At 36.5% G+C, this 20,393-nt stretch overlaps 2 protein-coding genes across 8 annotated transcripts in view; one reads left to right on the forward strand and one right to left on the reverse strand.

Moving 5' to 3' along the window:
• Window positions 1-3,928, reverse strand: part of PZP (PZP alpha-2-macroglobulin like) — a 71,924-nt gene extending 67,996 nt beyond the window's left edge. For all 7 annotated transcript variants that reach the window (XR_001748834.2, XM_047429274.1, XM_017019763.2 and 4 more), the window contains exon 1: window positions 3,792-3,928. Coding sequence is in view for 6 of the 7 variants with exons in the window: in XM_047429274.1 (XP_047285230.1) it covers window positions 3,792-3,874 (83 nt within the window). In the remaining variant the exon portion in view is untranslated. The remainder of the gene's footprint in view (window positions 1-3,791) is intronic.
• Window positions 1-11,103, forward strand: part of KLRG1 (killer cell lectin like receptor G1) — a 265,527-nt gene extending 254,424 nt beyond the window's left edge. The window contains exon 7 of the mRNA XM_017018685.2: window positions 10,809-11,103. The gene's annotated coding sequence lies outside the window, so the exon portion shown is untranslated. The remainder of the gene's footprint in view (window positions 1-10,808) is intronic.
• Window positions 11,104-20,393: the final 9,290 nt, after the last annotated feature.

Below are 20,393 nucleotides of genomic sequence, written 5' to 3' on the forward strand. Positions count from 1 at the left end.
CAAAATAACACATGTCTATATTGCAAAATCATTTTCTTAATATCAGCAACACTGAAAAAAAGTATTTGCTGTTTCTCTTAGGCTCCTCAGATACAGCTCAGTCAAAGTCAATATTTTATCAACGAGTTTGAAAATTTTGTCAATTATTTACATGCACAACTCCCTGCTACACACACACTACACAAACACACACTGTATTTTATTATCATTTCCCTTTATGCTCAATTTCTTGAGGCAATTAACATTAATAATTTAATATTAGTATGTCCATGTTTATAAACATGTTTGTTTCGAATCACATGGGTGGATAGGTTATCTTTTCAATAAAAAAAAACAAACAGGTTCAGGCTGGGAGAAGTGGCTTATACCTAGTTCCCGGCACTTTGGGAGGCTGAGGCAGGAGAGTCACTTGAGGCCAGGAGTTTGAGAACAGCCTGCACAACATTGTGAGGTCCCCCATCTCTACAAAAATTAAAATAAAAAATTTAGCCAGGTGGCACATGGCTGTAGTAGCAGTTACTCAGGAGGCTGAGGCAAGAAGGATCACTTAAGCCCACGAGGTTGAGGCTACAGTGAGCTATGATTGCACCAGTGCTTTCAGAGTGACAGAGTGAGACCCTGTTTCAAAAAAAAACAAAACAAAGTTTATATGAGTACTAAAAGTCATATTATTTTGAAAAGTCTTTTCTTTTTTATTTAAATTGTTGAAAGTTTTCAGTTTTTCAGAGGCACAGGCAATTTTTTGTGTAAGCCTCACATTCTGGCCTTAGCTTTATTGATGAGTGTCCTTTGTCTCTAATGCCCCCCACTCCATATTTTCCTGTCACTTTCCAGAAGCCTCCAATTCAATATAATCTCTCCACACTCTGAAATCCCATGGGCTGAAAGAGAATGTGTTTTTGTTGTTGCTGTTTTTGAGCATCTGCCACATGACAAGAATTGTTAAGCTGTCTCTGTATTAAGCCATTTAATCTTCCCAGCAATGCTGTAAGGTACATGCATGATACTCTCCATGTTCATGGAAGCTAAAACATGAGATCCTCATCAGTCCCCAAAACTTGAATCCATAACAGATAGATAAAATCCCTGCCCCCATGCCAAATCAGTAAAATCAGTAAATTGTGACTAAAATGTAACTCTTCAAAGCTTTAATGATTCAGTGATTCATGATTCAATATCTGCAGGGTTAGGCCATTTATAGAGTAAATTTGCAAGTAAAAACTATTATTTTCTTATATTATTTTACTACCCTTACTTTCCATTGCCAACATAAACTCTTACTTTTTAAATTGTTTTCTGGACAGGCAATTTGACACAAGAAACCCAATATTGTTGCTTTACAAAATTAATAGGTGTGAGACTAGGAGGAGAGAATCCAAGGATAATTGAGTTGTGGAATGTGGAACTCAAATTTGGTCCCCTCATCCTCCATGTAGTCTGCTCCAGCACACCAGTCTTGCTACATGTGTTTTAAAGTGTTCCTGGGCAAAACTATATGCCATGAATCTCCAGGGCCACTCTGAAATCATCCAAGTTTCAGATGATTTTACTGTATGAGTAGTAAGGTTTTGTTCTCTAGCAGAGAAGCTGAGGGCAGTTCAGTAACTCACTGATAGTCATTCAGCTAGTCTCTTATGTCTTAATCTTTTTCTGGTATCTGGATGCTTCTGATCTCCTGATCACTGCTCTTTTAACAGCATAATAAATAATAAAAATGTATCATTTTTTACATCCCCATCAAAAAATTTTTCCTTTAGTTCTTTGATCTTAATAAGAAGGTATATATATATTTATAATTTATTTACTATTTTTATTCTTATAAATTATAAGCCTAAAAGATATCACGATTAAAAATTAATTCCACATATATTTGATATTCTAAAGAACTATTTTATATGAGTTCAGTTAATATTTTTTTAACAGATATTGAAATCAGAACAAATCCAGGTTGACAAACTTGCCCAAGATGTCATTGGTAGTGAGCTGCTAAAATGTTTTAATATATGTTTACTCAATCATGAATGTTTGCATTTTAAATATTTGCCTCTTTAGCAGGGACTAAATGTAGCAAATATTAAAGTGATAACTTTTAATTTTCTCTTTTTCATTTTATTCCCCTGAAACCTTCATCTTTCTGAAGCTTACTGCCCCAAGGCAGGGGAGAATGGCTATTGGTTCTCTTTTGTAGTCTCTCACATTTATCACATCAAGGGTTAATTCTGGAGGGATGAAGTTAAGTTTTCTCCTTATAAAGGGAGAAAACACCCCTTCTGCTTGTGACAACTAGGGCATGAGGCTTGTTGTTCTTTGTTCAGTGGCAGACACAACGTAAAAGGATGGTTTCAATGGCAGCATGGTCCAATGTAGTGTAGGAATGCATCCAGAACCACAAATTGCTTAATGTTTCTGACCCAATACACGCTACTCGCTTTATCCATTCAGTCTGCTCTCAGAAAGCAAAATAGCCTCCACATATTCCCATATGCTTTCTGGATGGAGAGCAGCTGGAAGTAGTAGAGCCCACTGCTGTAGATGAGGTAGAGGGATAGTGGGGGAGAAATGTACCCCTACCGGTTGCCAGGAAATTGTGCAAGGAAAAAGCCTGAGGAAAGCAGGAGACTTACTGGATTGAACTCCTTATTTCTGCTTTCTGCGCTTTGGCCTGAAGAAGGCTATTTGTGTTAGATGGATAAGGGTAACACACAGAGCAGAGGGACCCCTTATCCCTTTCCCGATTTGGGACTCTGAAGACTTCCCTGTATCAGTCTGGAATACAGGAGACACGATAGGCATCTAGAAGTGCAGTGTGGGTATGCAAGAGAGAGGTAGAAGTTTAACCTCTCCAGGACACCTCAGTGCCTATGTGCTATTATTGGACCCAAGAGTTCTCACCATTCTCTGGAAGAAATGTAAAGGCAGCTGGGTTAAGGCCAGGGACCTTAAATGGCCTGGACTGCAAAGGGGCAAGGTGACCCTGCATCACAGGCTGTGTTGAAACAATAGCCATAGTATTTGAGGCAGGATGCAAAGGTAGGAGTTCTATGGGATATGAAACAGCTGAAGTGAGACAGTCAGTTAGAGAGGACTGTTGGGTCCTGAACACACAAGAGAAACCAGATGGCTAAACTTCAACAGTGCATGCCAGCAAGTAAGGAGAAGTCAGACTGACAGTAGCCAAGAAGGACGGAGAACTTTGAGACCAAGGACTCTGACAGTTTTCTCTATTAGGAGTTAATGGAGACCACAGTTCTCTAGACACTATAGAGGAGAGGAACTGGGGAGAGGTGGAAAAGAAGTCTTACAATTATTGAGTTGTACCAACTTACAACTGGATAGGGTTAAAATTATTTTCCCTGCTTTGGTCCCCCACTGGGGGCTGTTGGTGAAGACTTGATACATGATTGAAAAATAAAGGAGCTATACTTTCTGTATATATATATATGGCCTACAATACATGTTAAGTTGCACTTCACTATATATTTCGAATATCTCTATATTCAGTGCCTTCCATCCAAAAGAACTGTTCTGTGAAGTTGGGATCTAGTGTTTTATTTAATCATGCTTCCTAGTGACTAATCGTATTTATGACTCTGATTGGCCCAGTGTAGAAAAAATGATTTCAAGAATAGAGGATAAATGAAAGACAAACAAGGGATTAACTGGAATAATTTCTTATATTTGGAAGGTATTGTAATGAGTGGAAAGGTGGCATTTACAAAGGAAGGCAAAGCGAAGACACAAGGGAGAGACTGAAACGCACTCTGGAGGAAGGGGTCTTGAGTGAGACTTACGGTTCTGTAGAGTTTGAGTCACTGGCAGAAAGCAGGATAAGAAGTAGCACAAGACATAAATGAAGAAGTCTGTCTTTCCGCATTGTGAGGGATAAATCTCAGGGTTGTGTCCAACTCTCTGCCCTCAGCCTCGCCCTGGAGACCAGCTGAGTTTACCAGGCTTTATGTGGCCACTATGTACAAACAAGCCCCACCCCAAGGCCTCTGAATAGAGTTCAGAATTGAGCACAGATTCCCTAAAAGGGTCATTACTCTCAGTGGTTGCCTCATTTTTCTCAAGGCTAAATTCTGATAGGTACTGAGGCATGTCTGGAAGATAAAATTTGTATTCCATTTAGAATGAGCTTTGACAGCAAACCTCCTGATAAGGAACCTTCAACCTACCTTTCTCCATCTCTTTCAAAATCCTTACAAGCAGGTGACAAAGGATGCTGACAAAGAATGTCAGGGACATGTTACCATGATAGTAGCTCATGCATTGCAGATTCATTTCTGGGACTGAGTGAGTTATAACTATAGACTTTAGGGTTTTTGGGTTTTCTTTTTTAGCAGTTGATTGAGTACATGGTCCTGGAAGAAAGTGATATAAAATAAGGATTTCAAGAGTAGAGGATCAATGAAAGATAAAAGAGATAAAAGATCAAAGAGATTTTAGAAAGGAGTTATCAAAGATCACACTTGTCTATTTCACAGCATTGACCTGATCAGATTCTTAGTTGATCCTATCTGTCCTTGTTACTGTCTGAGCACTCTAACGTTTGAGTCCCTTAAACCATGTCATTGACTTTATCTGAGATTTTTTTTTTGAGCCATACTGTGTGCTAAGTGCTATTCTGGTGATGAAAATACAATATTGAACAGGATATTCAGTATCCATGCTCTCATAGAACTTGTAGTACAATGATGATCACATATAAACCACCAGCAGATTTAATGCCATCCTTAGACTGCAGACATTGGTGTCTGTTTACATACTGTATTGCTTGAAACTTTTTAAATCAACTTTCTTTCTCTTTCTCCATATTTCAGCCTAATCATCCCTTCTTTGGAGAGCAAATTCCTGGCCACACTGCTGAAAGTGGATTCCTTCCTATTAGTTTTTATTTCACATCTTTGTTTCTTTTGTCACATTATCATAGAATGAAATAATTTCTTTTAAATTATGAAATGTTATATATATATATACTCACAAATATAGAGAGCAAGATAAAAGACACTCGTACCTTACATGCACCCAACTTTAATAAAATTAAACACTTGCCAAGTTTGTTTAAGGTCATTTCTTCTTAAGAAATGAAAGATGGCAATGGTAGTGCTCTTTTAAAATTTGTCTAGAAGCTTTTCCAGTTTTTACCAGATCCACCAACCCAAAAAAAGAAATAAATCAAGACAAATATGGTTGGAGTTTCCTTTGTAATTCTCTCCAATCTCATTTCCCTTCCAATGTTGTGGGATTAGGAAGTTGATATGTATTCTTCAAGATGTGTTTATGTTTTTAATCCATATTTATGTAAATAATATATAGCATAATTTTGTGTTTTGTATTTTATATGTATAAGTGGTATGCACATATTGTAAAATATGTCATCACTATTATGGTTTTAAGACTTATTAGCATTGATAATGAGGATAAAATTTATTAATTTTAATGACCATCTATACGACATTCTATTGTATGAATGTGGCCGAACCTGTTACTCTATTCCCCTAGTGCTGAATTTTGGATTCTTCATAGTTTTCAACATTACAAATAATACTGCTACAAATACGGTATGTCTACTTAAGCATATTTGCAAGACTTTCTCTAGGGTATATAGCAGAGATTGGGTTATAGGCTATATATGTATGTACATCTTGAAATCTATCAGATTGGTAAATTGCTCTTCAGAGTATTACATGGATTTGAATACCCATCTGCAACAGTGGATATTTTCAGTTTATTATATATTTACCATCGTTTTACTCTGCTAGGCATTTTACTTTTTATCAATCTGATGAGTGAAGCAGTATCTTGCCTTAATTTTCATTATTAATGACTTTACACATCTTTTCATATGTTTATGGACCATTTGAATTCTACCATCAGTTTGATATCTCAACACAATATGTAAAGGGTCTATCAGGAACATCTCCTTGCCCCAGTTTCATGAGCCTTGGACTCTAGACGCTGCAATTTTATTTACTAAAGGCTTTAAAATGTGCTTCTAAATCTCTCAGCCAAATATTCTGGAGCTGTTAAATACCCTAAGGGGAAAGTGCCCTTAAACACAGAATTGCCCCTTTGGGTTGCTATGTTGCTTCTGAACTTTGGATTCATAATTCTTCACAGTCTTTGCTTTTCAATACCTCCAGTGAATATATATATAACCAACCATTCCTAATTTAAGTGGGAAGTTTGGTCTCAATTACCTTGTATACCATTACTGGAAAGGAAAGTCTTAAGTGTGTATTTTTATTTTATATAAAGAGTATTGGAAAAAGACCTTGCCTGTTTCTTATTCTTTTTAGTTATTGCTAGTTTTAAAACATCCTCCCATGTTTATATGTTTATATGTATGTATTTTATTAATTGCATTTTATTACAGTATAGCCCTCTTTGGTGATCATCCAAGAGGTTTAATGTTTCCACTCTCCTAATGATAAAAACAGGATTGTCTCTATTGTCCTGCCATGAGGAAATAATGCTTTGATAAATATCTTTTTACATATACCCTTTGAGACAGGTAAATCCTCTTGCAAGACGCATACACAGGAGTGAGATTGTTGTATGAGAGGCATGTACTTAAGTGACTAAATAGTGACAAATAACTCTCCAGAATGGTTGCATCACACCACAATTCTACCAGTAGTGCATGAGGATTTTCGTATCCCCATATTGCCACCAATACTCTAGCTTTTACATTTTTCTTCCAGTATTCCTTTAAATAAGCTTTCTGCTCATTTCCCTCTTTTCTCCTTCTAGGACTCCCATAATATGTGTATTTGCATGCTTGATGGTATTCCATAGGTCCCTTATACTTTCTTCACTCTTCTTTAATTTTTTTTCTTTTTTCACCTTTAATTAACTATTTACATGACCTGTCTTCAAGTTACTAATTCTTTCTTTTGTGTGACTGTGTTTGCTGTTGAAGCTCTCCATTAAAATATTCAGTTCTGTTCTTATATAATTTTTGTGTGTTTTTTCTTAATGGTTTCTATTTCTTTATTAAACTTCTCATTTTGTTCATACATTGTTTTTCTAATTTTATTTAGTTGTCTATCTGTGTTTTCTTGCATCTTACTGAGCATCTTTAAGATGATTATTTTGAATTTTGGGGGGAAATTTGTAGATCTCCATTTGGGGTGGAGATTAGTTACTGGAACTTCATTGGTTTCCTTTGGTGGTATTATGTTTGCCTGGTTCATCATTATCTGTGTAACTTTGCATTGGTTTCTATGCATCTGAAGGAGCAAACACCTTTTCCCATCTTTATAGACTGGTTTTACAGGTAAAGATCCTCAGGATCCTCCTGTTGGGTTCCCAGGATTGACAAGATTGCTTCCAGAATTGTGGTCAACTGGAGGTAGAGCCAGGTCACATGGTTTTGCTGGGTCAACAGTGAGGTCTGTGGTTGGCAGGCCTGTTAACTGGGGCTCTAGTAGGCTTAGATTCTGTCTGTTCCCTGGGTAAATTGGACTGCCTCCTAGACCTTGGTCAGTAGGTCTGGCACTGGGATGAGGGTCTACTTTAGAGTCCACAGATTGTAGGCTAGTTACGAGATATGTGGATGAATGTGGCTTCCTCTGGGTCCTTAGGAGGGCTCCTACTGGGTCACTGGGTAGGTTCCTAGGCAGACAGTGCTGGTCCAGATTGCAGCTGAGAGAAAAGAGAACCAAGTAACAGGGCTGCCTCAGGGCCTACAGCTGAGACCCAGGTCTTCAGGCCTGCCTCTGGGTTCATGAATGGGCATGTGTCCCACTGGGTCCCTGAGTGGGCAGGCCTGCTCTCAAATCACAGATGAGAGGGCCTGGAGCCAGTATACAGTGCTGTTTTAAGATCCACAGTGGGACCAAGTTCAGCCTACCAGGGCACTTGTGAGCATTTCTCCCATTAGGTCCCTGTGAGGGCAAGACTGCTCTTAGACTGCATCATAGAGGAGCTGGTACCAGATTTCAAGGCCATTTTAGGATTCACTGTATAAGAAAGAAAGTAGCCAATCATCTTTTCTAGTTTTTTTATGTTAGTTATTTTCTTTCATTAAATGTTATAACTAATATGTATAGTTGAGGCCATGGTAGAAACAGTAGTGACAAAAAACATAACTGTCTATGCAAGATAATAGGACAAATGTTTTCCAAATGAGGAAAAGAGTAGTTTTGTCTTAAAATATCTGATTTTTCCAGAATGTGAAATGGGACAGTGAAAGAGAAAATCTGAATGAATGTGCAATAAAGTTTGCAGGAAAGGAAATTATTTCCTTCATTTATAACATTGAATCTGAAAAAAAAAACCAGTAAATTTTTTCCATAGTTGGCTATTTTTTACAATTTTTAAATGGACACAAATTCCCATTACATAACATTTATTACATTACAGTGTACAATTCAGTGGCTGTTAGTATGCTCATGGTGTTATGTAATTATTACCACTATGAAATTATGGAACATTTCCATCACCCCCAAAAGAAACTACATACATGTTAGTAGTCACTTCCTATTTTCAACAAGTAGAAATACTAATTCGTGCATTCTCTGCAAACACTAATCTACTTTATATTTTTATGAATTTACCTATTTGGACATTTCATATTAATAGAATCATAATATATGTGGCCTATGTTGTGTGGCTTCTTTCACATAGCGTGATGTTTTCAAAGTTCTTCCATGTTGTAGCATATATATAGTACTTCATTCCTTTACATGAGTGAACGATATTGAACAATATTCCAATGTATGGACATACCACATTTTGTTTATCCATTCCTCAGTTGATAGACATTTGAGTTATTCTCATTTATTAGCTATTGTGAATAATTCTGCTATAAATATTTGTATACAAGTGTTTGCATGAGCATATGATTTCATTTTTTGGGGGAATATATACAGGAGTGAATCTGTGGGTCATATGGTAGCTCAGTGTTTAACTTTTTGCAGAACTGCCAGACTATTTTTCACAGTGGCTGAAACATTTTAAATTCCCACCAGCAGTGTATGAACATCCCATTTTCTCCACATTTTTGGCAACATTTGTTATTCTGTCTATATTTAATTTTTAGAATGATAGCCATAGTGGATATAAAGAGGTATCTCTTTATGGTTTTAATTTGTATTTTCCTAGTGAATAATGATTTTGAGCATATTCTCATGTGCTTACTGACCATTTATGTATCATCTTTAGAGGAATGTCTGTTGAATTCCTTTGCCCATCTTTTAATTCAATTGTTTATCTTTTTATTGTTGAATTGTAAGAGTTCTTTACATATTTTGGATCTTTGATCTTTATCAGATATATAATTTGCAAATATTTACTCCTGTTCTGTGGGTTGTCTCTTCATGCATGATAGCGTCCTGAGACACATAGAAGTTTTTAGTTTTAATAAAATACAATTTAAAACATTTTTTGGTTCATTGTGCTTCTGATGTCATATTTAATAAATTATTGCCTAATCCAAGGTCCCAAGGATTTATACCTATGTCTCCTCCTAGGAGTTTTATTATTTTAGCTCTTACATTTGGGTTTGTAATCGATTTGAGTTAATTTTTTGTATATAATGTGTGTTAGGGGTCCAACTCCAATCTTTCTTTTGCATATGGGTATTTGTTTTTTTCATCATTTATGTTGAAAATATTATCCTTTCCCCATTAAATGTTCTTGGCACCCTTTTCAAAAATAAACTGACCAAAAATGTGTGGATTTATTTATGGACTCTCAATGTTCTTCCATTGATCTATATATCTATCCTTATGCTAGTACCATGCTGTCTTGAGATTGCTACAGCTTGTGTGGTAAGTTTCAAAATTAGAAAGTAGAAAAGCTCTTAGTTCTTTTTTTCCCTTCAACATTGTTGTGACTAATATGAATCTTTATAATATCCAAATGAATCTAAGAATCAGTCTGTCCTTTCTGTATAAAAGACGGTCGTAATTTTGATGGAATTGTGTTGAATCTGTACATCAATTTGGGGACTATCTTTGTTATCTTTATCCGATTAAGTCTTCCAACTCGTGAGCATGGAGGTATTTTAGAGTTCCTTACTCTGCCTTTTGTGCTAATGTCACCTTTGGCTTAATTTTAATTGGCTTATTAATTTAAAGGTTTATAAAAGATTACTGCCAAATATATTTATACAGAAATAATTTTACTTTCTTTTTTTTAAATGACATATTGTTTTTAGAGTGCTTAACAAAGGTTATGAGATTATTACTTACCTTTTGTTGCAATGCGTCCGTCCAGATAGCAGTTATTTGATGACTCACTAGAATATTTCTCTCTGCTTTGTGTTGACTTTACAGTTATGTTACCTTTTCTAATGCTAATTTTAAAATATTTGCTTGTCATTTTGATTACATAAGTGTAACTGAGTATTACTTCTTGGGCATATAATGCTATTTAATGGAGTAACCAGTGGCAACTCTTGCTTTTGCCTTCCAAAAATAGAATCTTAAAAAAAAATTTTTAAGTCAGTTTTAAAATCAGGTATTTGATTTTTTCCAACTGAGTTGTAGGGGTTCCTTATATATTTTGAAAGTTAACCCATTTAACCCATTATCAGATATATGATTTGAATTTTTTTCCCTCTCATTCCATAGATTTCCTATTCATTTTGTTAGTATTCCAATAGAAAATTTTGCCCTCCTCCATTCTTACATTATTGGTTATACTAATAAATTAATCTCATTATGAAGCAGATTGTTGCTTCTTTATGCTTGCTGAAGGCATCTGGAAAGAACCCTATTAGACACTGTGAACTTTGATATTTCAAACAATGGACCCTTGAATTGAATCCTCTGAGGTGTTATTCTTTTGTCAACTTTCAGACTGTACCAGTGGCTTGAGGCAGGATTTCCAAGACTCTTTTTAGTTCAGAAGCAAACATACTTCCTTAAAAAAGAATGCTTGACACAAGATCAAACAAAAGAAGAATTACTAGGACTGAAAAAAAACTGAGAAAAAAATTAAATTGTGATTACTTTTTTGGAATATGGTAGGCATTATTTTAATTACGTTTTTAATAAATACGAAAAAAGTCCTTTCTCTTTCTTTTTATACAATATGTAACTCTTAATTTAGAAGATTTTACATCTGTGGGTTGAATTAAACATTTTTAAATGATACCTGATTTTTGTGGACTCCATTAGAATTCAGAAAAAAAGAATACTTTTACTGAGTCTCCTTACTTTTCATGGCATGTAGTTATTTACATTATTTAATAAAAATCTGTTTTCCTTTTAACCTGTATATAATTGGATACATCGATACAGTTATATTAAAGTATACCTTGTGTGTTAGTATTTGAAAATACTCATTTAATCAGGCATGATAAGCCCATTATGAGAGGACTTCAGAAAGTCCTAGGTATCCTAAATATATATGTACCCAATACAGGAGCACCCAAATACATAAAGCAAGCTCTTACAGACCTATGAAGAGACATAGATTCCAACACAATAATAGCAGTAGACTTCAATAGAGCATTGACAGTATTAGATCACTGAGGCAGAAAACTAACAGAGATATTCAGGACCTGAACTTGACGCTTGACCAAATGGACCTAATAGACATCTACAGAACTCCCTACCCCAAAACAACAGAATATATATTCTTCTCATTGCCACATGGCAAATATTCTGAAACTGTCCACAAAATTGGATAAAAGAATCCTCAGCAAATCCAGAGAAGCCAAAATCATACTAAACACAGTCTCAGACCACAGTGCAATAAAAATAGAAATCAATACTAAGAAGATCCCTTAAATCCATACAATTACATGGAAAGTAAATAACATGCCCTGAATGGCTTTTGGGTAAACAATGAAATTAAAGCAGAAATCAAGAAATTCTTTGAAACGAATGAGAACAAAGATAGAAAATACCAGAATATCGGAGACACGTCTAAAGCAGTGTTAAGAGGGAAGTTTATAAGGCTAAACATTCACATCAAAAAGTTACAAGATCTCAAAGTAACAACCTAGCATCATATCTAGAGGAACTAGAGATATAAGAGTAAACCAACCCCAAAGCTAGCAGGAGAAATGAAATAACCAAAATCAGAATTTAAATGGAGGAAGTTAAGATGCAAAATAAATAAATAAATAAATACAAAAGATCAATGAATTGAGGAGTGGATTTTTGAAAGGATAGATAAGGTTGATAGAACACTAGATAGACTAATAAAGAAAAAAAGAGAGAAGATCCAAATAAGTACAATCAGAAATGAAAATGAGAATTTACCACCAACTCCACAGAAATGCAAAAGAACCTCAGATACTACTAAGGACACCTCTGTGCAAACAAACTAGAAAACCTATAAGAAATGGATAAATTCCTGAAAGCATTCAACCTCCCAAGACTGAACCAAGAAGAGACTGAATCCCTGAACAGAGCTATAATAATTTCTGATATTGAATCAGTAATAAAATGCCTACCAACCAGAAAAAGCCCAAGACCAGATTCACAGCCAAATTCTACCAGATACATAAAGAAGAGATGGTACCATTCCTATTGAAATTACTTCCAAAAGTTGAGGAGGAAGGACTCCTCCCTAAATCATTCTATGAGGCTAGCATTATCTTGATACCAAAACCTGACAGAGACAGAACAAAAAAAGAAAACTTTAGGCCAATACACTCAATGTACATAGATGCAAAAATCCTCAACAAAATATTAGCAAACCGAATCCAGCAGCACATCAAAAAGCTAATTCATTGTCAGATGTATAGATTGTGAAGATTTTCTCCCACTCCGTGGGTTGTCTGTTTACTCTGCTGACTGTTCTTTTTGCCATGTAAAAGTTCTTTAGTTTAATTAAGTCCCACCTATTTATCTTTGTTTTTATTGCATTTGCTTTTGAGTTTTTGGTCTTGAAATCCTTGCCTAAGCCAAAATCTAGAAGGGTTTTTCTGATGTTATCTTCTAGAATTTTTATGGTTTCAGGACTTAGATTTAAGTCCTTGATCCACCTTGAGTTGATTTTTGCATAAGGTGAGAGATGGGGATCCAGTTTCATTCTCGTACATATGGCTTGCCAATTATCCCAGCACTATTTGTTAAATAAAATGTCCTTTTCCCATTTTATATTTTTGTTTGCTTTGTCAAAGATCAGTTGGCTGTAAATAGTTGGGTTTATTTCTAGGTTCCCTATTCTGTTCCATTAGTCTATATGCCTATTTTTATATCAGTACCATGCTATTTTGGTGACTATGGCCTCATAGTTTAGTTTGAAATCAAGTAATGTGATGCCTCCATAGTTTTTTGTTTGTTTGTTTGTTTGTTTTTATTTGTTTGTTTTTTTAAGTCTTTCTTTGGCTATGCGGGATCCTTTTATGTTCCATATGAATTTTAGGATTTTTTTCTAGTTCTGTGAAGAATGATGATGATATTTTGATAACAACACAATTCGCAATTGCAAAATTTTGGAACCAGCCCAAATGCCCATCAATCAATGAGTGGATAAAGAAACTGTGGTATATATATGATAGAATGCTACTTAGCCATAAAAAGGAATGTATTAATGGCATTCACAGCAACCTGGATGGGACTGGAGACTATTATTCTAAGTGAAGTGACTCAGGAATGAAAAACCAAACATTATATGTTCTCGCTCATAAGTGAGAGCTAAGCTATGAGCATGCAAAGGCATAAAAATGATACAGTGGACTTTGGGGACTTGTGAGGAAAGGGTGGGAAATGGGTGAGGGATAAAAGACTACAAACTGGGTTCGGTGTATTCTGGTTGTGAGGCTGGAAAATAGGGTCTGGAGGCAGGGAACATAAGGCTGATTCACACTTCAGCTATAACAGGAAATATCCTCTCTATAAGGCGTAGGCCAAGTAAATGACTTTGTAACTTTACTTCATCTTCTTCATTTACATAGGGTGTACCCCAAGTAGAGGGTATTTAAACTCCCAAAAGTTCTGTAATGGAGCCTTTGTGTCCCTATGCTCAGTCCCGCTCTTACACCGTGGAATGTACTTTCATTTTCAATAAAACCCTTCATTCCTTCCTTGCTTTGTTAGTGAGTTTTGTCCAATTCTTTGTTCAAGACACCAAGAACCTTGGATACTCTCTACCGCTAACATTTGTGTGATGGGTGCACCAAAATCTACAAATCACCACTAAATAACTTACTCATGTAACTGAACACCACCTGTTCACCAAAATCCTATGGAAATAAAAATAAATAAATAAATGCATGCCAAAAAAAAGCTAATCCACCATTATCAAGTGGGCTTTATTCTTGGTTCAACATGCATAAATCAATAAATGTTATTTACCACACAAACAGAATGCCGAACTGAAAAACCACATGATCACCTCAATAGACGCAGAAAGGGCTTTCAATAAAAATCAAAATTCTTTCATGTTAAAAACCCACAAAATCTAGGCATTGAATGAACATACTTCAAAATAATAAAAACCATGTATTAAAAACACACAGCCAACATCATACTGAATGGGCAAAAGCTGGAAGCATTCCTCTTGAAAACTGGGATGAGACAAAGATGCCTTCTCTTACCACTCCTAATTCAACATAGTACTGGAATTCTTAGCCAGCACAATCAGGCAAGAGAAAGAAATAAAAGGCATCCAAATAGGAAGAGAGGAAGTTAAGCTCTCCCTGTTTGCGAATGATATGATTCTATATCTAGAAAACCTCATCATCTCTGCCGAAAAGCTCCTTGATCTGATAAACAACTGATACCCAAAGCAATCCTAAGCAAAAAGAACATAGCGGGAGACATCATAGTCCCCAATTTCAAACTATACTACAGGGCTACAGTAACCAAAACAGCGTGGTCCTGGTACAAAAACAGACTTCCAGACCAATGGAACAAAATGGAGAGCCCAGAAATAATGCCACACACCTACAACCATCTAATCTTTGACAACGTTGACAAAAGCAAGCAAGGGGGAAAGGACTCTATTCAATAAATGGTGCTGGAATAACTGGCTAGCCATACGCAGAAGATTGAACCTGGACCTCTTGCTTACACCATATGCAAAAATCAAATCAAGATGGATTAAAGACCTAAATGTAAAACCTAAAACTATAAAATCCTGGAAGATAACCTAGAAAATACCTTTCTGGCCATAGGCCCTTATAAAGATTTCATGATGGAGATGTTAAAAGCAATTGCAACAAAATCAAAAATTGACAAGTGGGACCTAATTAGACTAAGGAGCATCTGCACAGCAAAAGAAACTATCAACAGAGGAAACAGTCAACCTACAAAACAGAAAATATTTGCAAACTATGCATCTGACAAAGGTCTAATATCCAGCATCTATAAGGAACTTGCTTAAGAAATTAACAAGCAAGAAACAAAGAACACCATAAAAATGTGGGCAAAGGACAGGAACAGACACTTCTCAAAAGAAAACATTCATGTGGCCAATAAGCTTATGAAAAAATATTCGACATCACTAATCGTTAGAGAAATGCAAATCAAAACCACATTGAGATACTATCTCACACCAGTCAGAATGGCTATTAGATGGTGGCAATGTCATAGAGAAAAAGGAATGCTTATACACTGCTGGTGGGAATGTAATTTAGTTCACCTACTGTGGAGAGCAATTTGGTGATTTCTCAAAGATCTTAAAATGGAATTACCATCTGACCCAGAAATCCCATTATTGGGTATATACCCAAAGGAATATAAATCATTCTACCGTAAAGGCACATACATGCAGTTCATTGCAGCATTATTCACAATAGCTAAGCCATGGAATCAATCTAAATGCCCACCAATGGTAGACTGGATAAAGAAAACATGCCACATATACACTATGGAATACTACACAGCCGTAAGAAAGAATGAGATCACGTCCTTTGCAGCAAAATTGATGGAGCTGGAGACCATCATCCTAAGCAAACTAACACAGGGACAGAAAACCAAATACTGTATGTTCTCACTTATTAGTGGTAGCTACACATTGAGTACACGTGGACATAAGGAAGGAAACAACAGATGCCAGGGCCTACTTGCACGTGGAGAATGGAAGAGTGAGGATTGAAAAACTACCTATTGGGTACTATGCTTTTTACGTGGGTGATAAAATAATTATACACCAAGCCCCCATGACACACAATTTATCTATATAGCAAACCTGCACATGTACCCTTGAACCTAAAATACAAGTTAAAAAAGAACAATTTTTGGTGAGGGGAGACTCTGAAAAAAAGTATCAGAAACTCAAAAATAAGGTAAAATGATGGTAGTACATTCTTTCAATACTATTTTGGGGTAAGGGTCACTTAAGTATTATCTAGGGGAATATCCTTAGTTCATCTCATTATTTATCATAAAGATTCCAAACTTACTAAAGTTACTTTTTGACTTTTATCAAGTACCAGTATAAATCATTTCTGTCCAATGGAATAGAAACCTAAGATTTTTACCATATTGTAACATTAACCAGTTTTATACATAACATGTCATTCTTATCCTAACAGATTTTTTGTTTGTTTGTTTGTTTAATTGTATGCAAATATGTTAGTTTTTTAATATGCTCTTTGAATTGGTAATAACATCCTACTGGTTATTTCTTTGACATGTGTGTTGTTTTTACATTTGCCTAAGAATCATGGTTTTATCCTTTTCAAATTATGTTTTTACCAAAAATTTGTCAAAATAGACAGTTACCATAGTTGGCCAGGTGCGGTGGCTCACGCCTGTAATTCTAGCACTTTGGGAGGCCAAGGTGGGCAGATTGCCTGAGGTCAGGAGTTCAAGACCAGCCTGACCTCGTCTCTACTGAAAATATAAAACTAGCCGGGGGTGGTGATGTGTGCCTGTAATCCAGGTATTTGGGGTGCTGAGGCAGGAGAATCTCTTGAACCCGGGAGGCGGAGGTTGCAGTGAGCTGAGATCGCGCCGTTGCACTCCAGCCTGGGCAACAAGGGCAAAACTATGTCTCAAAAAAAAAAAAGAAAGAAAGAAAGAAAGAAAGAAAGAAAGTTACCACAGTTAATAATACTTACCTATGAGCCTCAGTATGAATTATAAAATATTTTATAGAAAAGTACTCTTTATACAATTTGACAAAGGCATTCTCTTTTATTTTCAATATTTTACTTTTTTATGCCTGCTACAAAGAAGCAATTTAAGTTTTCATTCAGCTGCTCTGTGATGTGGAAAGAGTATTTTTGGGCCAAGTGTTATTCAAGTGTACTGATGATGAAAGTCTTTTGTTAATATATGAACAGACTTTGAGTAATCAGAGATCGTTTACTGGAAATGACAAGTTTCATCTTGTCTGATTAAGTACACATTAAATCTTGGCACAGATTTTCTTAGGCAAAACTTTGCTCAACAATAATTTGAATCCACATAGAACCCTTGCCTTTAGTACCTTGAATATTCTTTGTTATTGCATTAATTCCCATTCCTAAATTTTACAAGATGTCTGAGACTATTAAGTAAAATGCATAAAGATATTTCTCATATTATTGCTGTTTAAGTGACTCCTTTACGTTTTAAAAATTCCTAAGAAAGGTCTTTTACAATACTTCTACTTTGCATTAAATAATAATCAAACCTCGCCTTGGGGGTGTGCCAGACAGATTAAAATGAATAAATCAACACTTCACCCAAACATTCATTCATAGACTTGCTTTTTTTTTTTTTTTTGAGACGGAGTCTCAATCTGTCACCCAGGCTGGAGTGCAGTGGCATGATCTCAGCTCACTGAAAGCTCTGCCTCCCGGGTTCACGCCATTCTCCTGCCTCAGCCTCCCGAGTAGCTGGGACTACAGGCGCCCGCCACCACGCCCGGCTAATTTTTTGTTGTATTTTTCGTAGAGATGGGGTTTCACCGTCTTAGCCAGGATGGTCTCCATATCCTGTCCTTGTGATCCGCCCGCCTCGGCCTCCCAAAGTGCTGGGATTACAGGCATGAGCCACCACGCCCGGCCAGATTTGCTTTTTTATTATAAATCATCTTTTAATTTTCCTTATTAACACAGAAATAAACAAGAAAATTCTTCCTGGAGAACTTTAAGAACACAAAGAGATGTGTCTTTTCTGAGATACGCTCTAAGCATGACAGAGGTCTAGAAATGGAAAGCTGAACCCCACGTCTCAGATTTTATTATTTATTATCTGGTTTTTTTTTTTGAAATAGAGATGAGGTCTCACTATGTTGCCCTGGTTGGACTCCAGCTCCTGGGCTTGAACAATCCTCCACCCTCAGCCTCTTGAGTAGCTGGAACTATAAGTGTAAGACCACTGCACTGGGCCAGATTTTAATATTTGTTTGCTTATTTTAAATTATATGAGATATTTTCTTGTCTTTTTTTTTTTTTTTTTGAGATGGAGTCTTACTTTGTTGCCAGGCTGGAGTGCAGTGATGTGATCTCGGCTCATTGCAACCTCCGCCTCCTGGGTTCAAGTGATTCTCCTGCCTCAGCCTCCTGAGTAGCTGGAAATACAGGTGTGCACCACCACACCCAGCTAATTTTCGTATTTTTAATAGAGACGAGGTTTCACCACATTGGTCAGGATGGTCTCGATCTCTTGACCTCATGGTCCACCTGCCTCGACATCCCAAAGTGCTGGGATTACAGGCATAAACCACCACGCCCAGCCAAGACATTTTCATTGTTAAGTTAAACTCTGTGGAAATATGTAAAACATGTATTCTTCCTCCACCCAACCATCTGGATCTGCTTAAAAGACAATTAAAAATTTGCTAAGTAAACTTGGCCAACGAATGAAAAGATACTATTTTAATTGGAGATTATAGTAGTTTTCTAGGACTGCCATAACAAAATACTGCAAAGTGGGCGGCTTAACACAACATACATTTATTCTCTGTTGGTTGTGGAGGCTCACAGTCCAAAATCAAGGTATTGGTAGGGTCATGATCCCACAGAACGCTCTAGGGAGAATCTGCCCCATGCCTTTCTCTTAGCTTCTGGTGTTGTGAGCAATCCTTAGTGTTCCTGTGTTTGCCCCCATCATCACACAGAGTTTTCCTTGTGGTCTGTCTGCATCACCTTTCCTCTGTACACGTATCATTTCTTCTTACAGGACACCAGTCCTACCGGATTAGGGACCCACACTACTCCAGTATGACTTTATCTTAACTTACATCTTAATTACAACTCCATGGACCCTATTTCCAAATAAAGCGACATTCGCAGGTACCAGGCGTTAGGACTTCAACATATCTTTTTTGGGGACACAAATCAAACTACAACAAAGATCATTTGTATTTACCTTTCTGATAATTGTTAACAGTTCCTTTTGCAAGATAGAGGCCATGATTTCCCATGTAGAGCTCACTGAATGTATAAAATGTACTTTCAAACAAGTTTTGCTCAAAGTCCCAATAAATAACCATTTTTTTCCTTCTCGTTTATTTGACTTTGGGAAAATATCAAAATCTTCTTCCTTAAAGTGTTTGTGAAACATTAAGCAACTCAAACCAGGTTCGAGTCAAAATGATTTTTCTAGCTCATGTTTCCTACTGGTGTGTGCTAACACCTTAGTGTTACTCCATTTCTCCTCTAATTCCCTACCTACAGGAATACGCTTACTCAGGCACTGACACACTTAATCACCCCTTTGTTTTAATGAGTGCCTACAACCTTCCCAGCACTGTGTTGGGTGAACAGGCTGCACAGACATGATTAAGATACAGGTTTGGCTTTCAAAGAGGTATGAGTATATGGATGAGAGGAAAATAAATCATTTTTTTCTTTTTTAAAATTATTATACTTTAAGTTCTAGGGTACATGTGCACAATGTGCAGGATTGTTACATATGTATACACGTGCCGTGTTGGTGTGCTGCACCCATTAACTCGTCATTTACATTAGGTATTTCTCTTAATGCTATCCCTCCCCCATCCCTCCACCCCGCGACAGGCCCCAGTGTGTGATGTTCCCCATCCAAGTGTTCTCATTGTTCAATTCCCACCTATGAGTGAGAACATGCGGTGTTTGCTTTTCTGTCCTTGTGATAGTTTTGCTCAGAATGATGGTTTCCCGCTTCATCCATGTTGCTACAAAGGACATGAACTCATCATTTTTTATGGCTGAATAGTATTCCATGGTGTATATGTGCCACATTTTCTTAATCCAGTCTATCATTGATGAACATTTGGGTTGGTTCCAAGTCTTTGCTATTGTGAATAGTGCCACAATAAGCATACATGTGCATGAGTCTTTCTAGCAGCATGATTTATAATCCTTTGGGTATATATCCAGTAATGGGATCGCTGAGTCAAATGGTATTTCTAGTTCTAGATCCTTGAGGAATCGCCACACTGTCTTCACAATGGTTGAACTAGTTTACAGTCCCACCAACAGTGTAAAAGCGTTCCTATTTCTCCACATCCTCTCCAGCACCTGTTGTTTCCTGACTTTTTAACGATCGCCATTCTAACTGGTGTGA

The sequence above is a fragment of the Homo sapiens genome, chromosome 12, assembly GCF_000001405.40.
Source record: "Homo sapiens chromosome 12, GRCh38.p14 Primary Assembly".
In the NCBI taxonomy this organism is placed as follows: Eukaryota; Metazoa; Chordata; class Mammalia; order Primates; family Hominidae; genus Homo; species Homo sapiens.